At 38.5% G+C, this 5,936-nt stretch overlaps 1 annotated feature.

Moving 5' to 3' along the window:
• Positions 5,175 to 5,727: an enhancer, noted in NCBI's record as "NANOG hESC enhancer chr11:112283075-112283627 (GRCh37/hg19 assembly coordinates)". NCBI's record gives its function as "activates a minimal SCP1, AML or CMV promoter by ChIP-STARR-seq in naive H9 embryonic stem cells {active_cell/tissue: H9 hESC(naive)}" and the evidence as "EXISTENCE:reporter gene assay evidence [ECO:0000049][PMID:30033119]".

The following is a 5,936-nucleotide window of genomic DNA, read 5'->3' as shown; positions in this document are numbered from 1 at the left end:
TTTTTCACTCTCTGCACAGTTTTCTGAACATGACCCATTGTTTCATACTCCCTTGCCTTTGCTCATGCTGTTCTCTCTACCTGCAATGCTTTCCTGCCACCTATTCCATCCTCATCCCCAAACCCTATCTTCCTGAAGTGCTAACTCATCTGCCAAGAGTAATTCATGACTCTTCTCTGGATGGCCTTTTCTGACCACCTCCTTCTGTCATAACTATGCCCTATACAGATTTCTTTCATAGACACACTAAATATTTCATTACAGTCATTTGTTTATGTATCTCTCTTCCTACTATACTAAGAGTTTCCAGAGGGCAAGGATTACATCTAATTCATCTCTGTGTTCCCTGGCAGTGCCCAACACATAGTAAATGCCTTATCAATATTTATAGAATAAATAAAAGCAAGAATGAATAAATAAACTGGCAAAGCCAGTACTCTAAACCAGGTCTTCTGATGTAAAACCCATGGTCTTTTCACACTACAATCAAGCACACACAATGACAACAGTCAAACCAGCAAACAGGAAGCTGGAGGAGACTGAGAAGAAAGAAACAAAGCAGAAAGTCACTGCCGTTCTGCCCCTAATTCTCACCTACCTCTGCGAGTACCGCCAAGAGCTTCAAGCCCCAAGCAACTTTGAAGAAGGGGCTGACACCAGTGCCCACTACCCTTGATCTTTATGTCACTATCATATTTTTTGTGCATCAGAGATGAATTCTAGAAACACCTAATGTTCAGAACGGGAGGAAACTAAGAGATCACTTGGTTCTACCTCCTCATTTTGAAGATGAAGAACTAGAGGCACAGAGAAATGAAGTAACTTGTCCCAGGTCACCCAGTAACTTAGGGGCAGAGTCGAGTCCAGACCCTAAAACCCTACCTCTTGCTTCATTGCTTCTTTTTCTGTACTCATGGCCTCTCATGATGTTGGAGGCAGGAGGTCATTACCCTGGAGTTCATTAAATCCCCATGACTTGGACCAGGTGTGTACACCCAGACATCACAGGAAGGGATTTCTGCCTCTTTTCCCCAGCCCTGGCATTGAACTCAGATAGACCCAGGCTTAAACCCAATCAGTACCACCTACTCATCAAGTGAAGTAGTACAAGTGAGTTAAACTATCTGAGCCTCAAATTCTCCATCTATATATATTAAGGATGTGATATCCTTCTCTCAAAGTTGATGTGAAAATACATAACATGGTCTATGTTAATGCTGTTAGCAAGGGCTTGGCATACATTAGATGCTTAATAAATAAACATCTTAAATTGGTTTCAAGTCATGAGAATGGTCATTTTGAAGGGTTGTTTCCTTGCAAAGGAAGTTTAAAGTCCTCCTTAAAAGCATTCTGCCAAGAGATAGACACTTCTCGACCTACACTGTCTTTTATTCTAAAGGATTGTCCATATTTTGCCTAAGTCAAAAATGCTGCTTCTTTAACATGACAGGCATTTTACTTTCATAAGCTCTTTTGTAAACCCACTATCATCCAAAATAATTTTTCTCAGTTCAGGCAGTAAAAATCTATTTCATGTGGAATGAAAGGCAGGCTGTTGGTTACCTTCAAAGCTTTTTAGTATTTTCATTTTCTTATTCTAAATCAGTGTTCTGTTTTTTCTAAATTGGTCCTGTTCTTTTGGTACCACCTGGTTTACTTTTCTTCTTTTTTAAATTTTTTATTAATTCAGTTTGCCTTTTTTAATCAAAGATTTACATGCACATAAAGTAAATAGTTATATAAGGCTTATTATTTAAAAACAACATGCCCCACTACCACTACCACAGTCTCCATTCCATTTCCCACTCCCTAGAGGTAACTATATTCAAATTACTAAACTGATTTTCTTTTGAATTTACTTCTATGTTTCTAAATAACATGCTTGTATTGCTACTAAAAGAAAAAAATATTTAAACTCTGTTGACTCACCTGGAAGAGGAAGATTTAACTCCTCTTCTTCCCCTTCCTGGTCCCACTGCATAAATGCACACTTTCCCATCTCTCTGACCCCATTCTCCTCAAAGAGCCAGACAGTAAATTTGGCTAAGTCAATATTTAGTTTCTACCTTACTGTTATCATATAAATATTCATCACAGCCTAGTCACTTGTACACCATGATTAGTTTTTCATGCCTGCACAACATTTTGTTTCTCCTGTACTTAATAATGGTCTTGTAGGTTTTCTATGTAATTTTCATTAATTTACTTCCAACACTTCCCTAGTTGTGTAAATCTCCTCTCAATGCATTCAAACACATTAAGCGTTCTATTCAATTTCATGTTCTTGAAGAAATCTCTCTGAAGCCTCTGGCCTGCTCCAATCCGGACTGGTTGCTCTCCAGGTCTGCTGCACAGCTGCCATTTGGGGACCTCTTTTCACCAACATGCTGGGTGTTTCTCCCACCTCTGTCTTGTGTTGGAGCCCATTTTTTGGATCTCATGTCTTTCTTTTTCTCGGTTTATTTTGTCGTCTTGGTACATTGCACTCTTTTGTAGCTTCATTGGAAAAGGTATGCACAGGAAACAAATTTTTTCAGGACTTGAATGCCTTAAAGTGTCTTTATCCTACCTTCACATTAATTGATTGTTTGGGTATAGAATTCCTGGTTGGAAATTATTTTCCCCTCAGATTTAGAAAGCATTGTTCCATTGTCTTTAGCTTCCAGCATGGCTGTCCCTTATGTCCTGAAATTTTGCCATGATGTGCCTTGGTGTAGCTTTCTTTTCCTCTACTGTGCTGATTCTAAAAATTCATGTCATTCATTTTGAGAAGTTTTTACTGATTATTTTTTCCCATCTGATTATCTATTCCTTCCTTCTGGAGCTCCAATTATTTGGATGTTGGGTTTCCTGGAGACCTTTTGCTTTGCCATTTTTCTTTCCTATTTTCCATTTTCTGTTTAATTTCCTCATTTCCTATTTTCTCTATCTTCTTCTCTACTTCAGAGATTTGCCCAACTTTATTATCATTCTCTAATTCATTTATTTAACAAGTTTTTGAGTACCTACTATGTACCAGGCAATGTTCAAGGTGCTGGAAATACCACTATAAAAAAACAAAAACAAACAAACAAAAAAAAACCCTGTCATAATTGATCATACAGCCTTTGGACCCTATTATTGAGCATTTTGTTTTTGCTACCAAATATTAAATTTCCAAGAGATGTTTGTCATCCTTATGTATTCCTTCTTCATAGCAGACTATTCTGGTTTGGGGCTGCCCTATCTTCTCTTATGTCTCTGGGCATTTCGATAGATTTCTTTGAAGTTTTCTTCTTATACTGTTTTCACTTCTCCCACAATGACTTTATTTGTCTTGGTTTATGTCTTCCATTTTATGTGCTTTCCTCAAATATTTGGGCATCTATTCATATTTAAAAGTGGCATGCTAAAGCATGGATTGGAAGCTCCGTGTTGATGGCTGGGGCCTGTCAACCTTGGTCTTTACAATAGATAAACAGTAGATCTGGGTATCCTATCCTTAAGGAACCCCTGATATTAGTTTCCTTAGATCTTTCCCTTGAATTGGTCAAGTTTCTCAGAAAAAAATCTTAGAGGTACAATATTCAGTGTATTAACTTTTACCCAATCTCCCTATTTCAGTATAGTTATACCATCTTCAACTGCCTTATATTCTTGATACAGAGACTGTCTGTTTTACTTTGCCATAATGGAAGGTGGACATTCTTCTTGCTGCGTAAATAATAATTACTACAATATAATTCATTATTTATTGTTGCACTAAAAATTACTTCCAAACTAAGTAACTTAAATATTGTCTCATAGTCTCTGGGTTGGGAATCTGGACAGGACTTAGCTTCATGCTTCCACCTAAAGGTTTCTCTGAAGGCTGCAACAAGATGTCAGCTGGGGCTGCAGTCTTATCTGAAGGCCCAACTGGGGGAAGATCTTGGAAATGCCCTGGATTTTATCTTTGCTGAGAAGGCATTTCTGAAATACAGCAGTGTTTGCCATCTAGCCAGACTGGGAATTTTCAAATTCATCAATTCCTGGCTGCTGTTTATCAGTACTTTCTTCAATTTATCTCTGTCCTCTTGCATTTTACCCCAAGCAGCAAGAAGAAATCAGACAGCACCTTCAATGCTTTGCTTGGAAATCTCCTAAGCTAAATCACCCAAATGGGTGATTGGGTACATTTCCTACTTTCCACATTACTGCAAACAATAATAATGTAACAGTCTGTTCAGCTTAACTTAGGTTTCCTCTAATATATACATCAAAAAGTCTTCCCAGCCTTCATTTACTGGTCAGTCAGAAAGCCACTTCACACTTTTTGGTATTTTTTTAATAGCATCACTCCACTGATGGTACCAAAACCTATATTTGGTATCTATTGCTGTATTTTAAAAGTATCCCAAACCTAGCAACTTAAAACATTAAACACTTATTGTTTCACTATTCATATGGGCCCAGAATCCAGATGTGGCTTAGTTAGGTGCCTCAGCTTCAAGATCTCTCACAAGGCTGCAGTCAAGGGGCCAGCTGGGGCTATGGTGTCAACTGAAAGCTTGACTAGGGGAGAATCTATTTCTAAGCTCTCTCACATAATTGTAGGCAGAATTTAGATTTCATGGGCTGTTGGATTAAAGGCCTTAGTTTTTTACTTGCTGCTAGTTGCTGGCATCCTTTGATTCCCTGCCATGCGGACTTCTCCATAGAGCAACTCACAACATGGCAGTTGACATCTCTCAGAGCAAGTGAATGAGAGAGTGAAAGAGGGAGACCCAAAATTGAACCTTGGGTCTTTATTTATAACTTCACTTCATAATTGCTATGCCATCACTTTTCCCATATTCTATTGGCTAGTCATGAGACACAAAATCCAGTCCTCACTCAAAGAGAGGGCATTACACAAGACCATGAGTATCAGGAGTCAGGGGTCGTTGTGTTTTCTTGGAGGCTATTTCCACAATAATATTATATCATATCAAATAAAAGTAAGACAACATACACCAGAGCAATGAGAAGTCAAAATAACAGAAACACAGAATGGAGAGAAAAGGCCTTCTCTTCAGGTTAGTTATTGCCAGTCTTGCATTCTGTCTTGCAGTATTCAGCATCACATTCGACTGCTTTGTTAGTTGGTAATGCAGACTTTGTAGACCTTTAAAATTATGGTTCTTTTTTTAAATTACGGTTCTTATGCAAATGTTTTTATGTTATTTAATTTGTGTAAGTCAAGTATTGTGTAACCAGGGGAACTACCGTAATTTGGAAGAAAGAAATATATACCAAAGAAAGTAATCACAACATCCATGAAATCTGTGGCATTAGAAGGAACCTCAATTTCCTGGCACAACACTGACAGTTCCTGCTGTAGCTCTTCCAGCTTTCCTGTTTGTCTCTCTCTACTTTGTCCCGAGATTTGTTTATAAGATTCCTCACTGATTCCTTACTGATTAGCATCTAAGCCATTCATCTATTCATTTGTCAACCACAAAGCACTGATTGAGCACCTGCTGTGTACTAAGTTCTGCAGTAGCCCCACACCCCCACACTCCCTACTACGAGAGAATGAGTCATAGTCTCTGCCCTTCTGGAGTACACAGTCTGATGGGGGTTGAGGGTAAACAAGTGAAACCATACTTATAAAACCCTTGAGCTGGGACCGAAAAGATGATCAAAAGTTCGTTGAGTAGACAAGGTTGGGAACATGTAGTGGGCATGTCAAGGATACAGAGGACCCACAACAAGAACCTACCAAATCTTGTTTGTTTCTTGTCTAAAAGTGTTGCCCAAATATAAGGAAATGGAAGAAGAATCTCATGGCTAGTGTGTGTGCATGTTTCAATAAATCCCATTAAGATTTTGTCTGCCTGAGAGTATAGACTATAGGTGGGAAAGTTAAAGGCTATAGATGGAGGGAAAAGGAAGACATGTCAGGGAGAAATTTCTGGCTCAAAGCTATCAAAATT

Source organism: Homo sapiens, chromosome 11 (genome assembly GCF_000001405.40).
Source record: "Homo sapiens chromosome 11, GRCh38.p14 Primary Assembly".
Classification (NCBI taxonomy): Eukaryota; Metazoa; Chordata; class Mammalia; order Primates; family Hominidae; genus Homo; species Homo sapiens.
The sequence above is the reverse complement of the archived record's forward strand: the minus strand, read 5'-3'. Positions and strand labels throughout refer to the sequence as shown.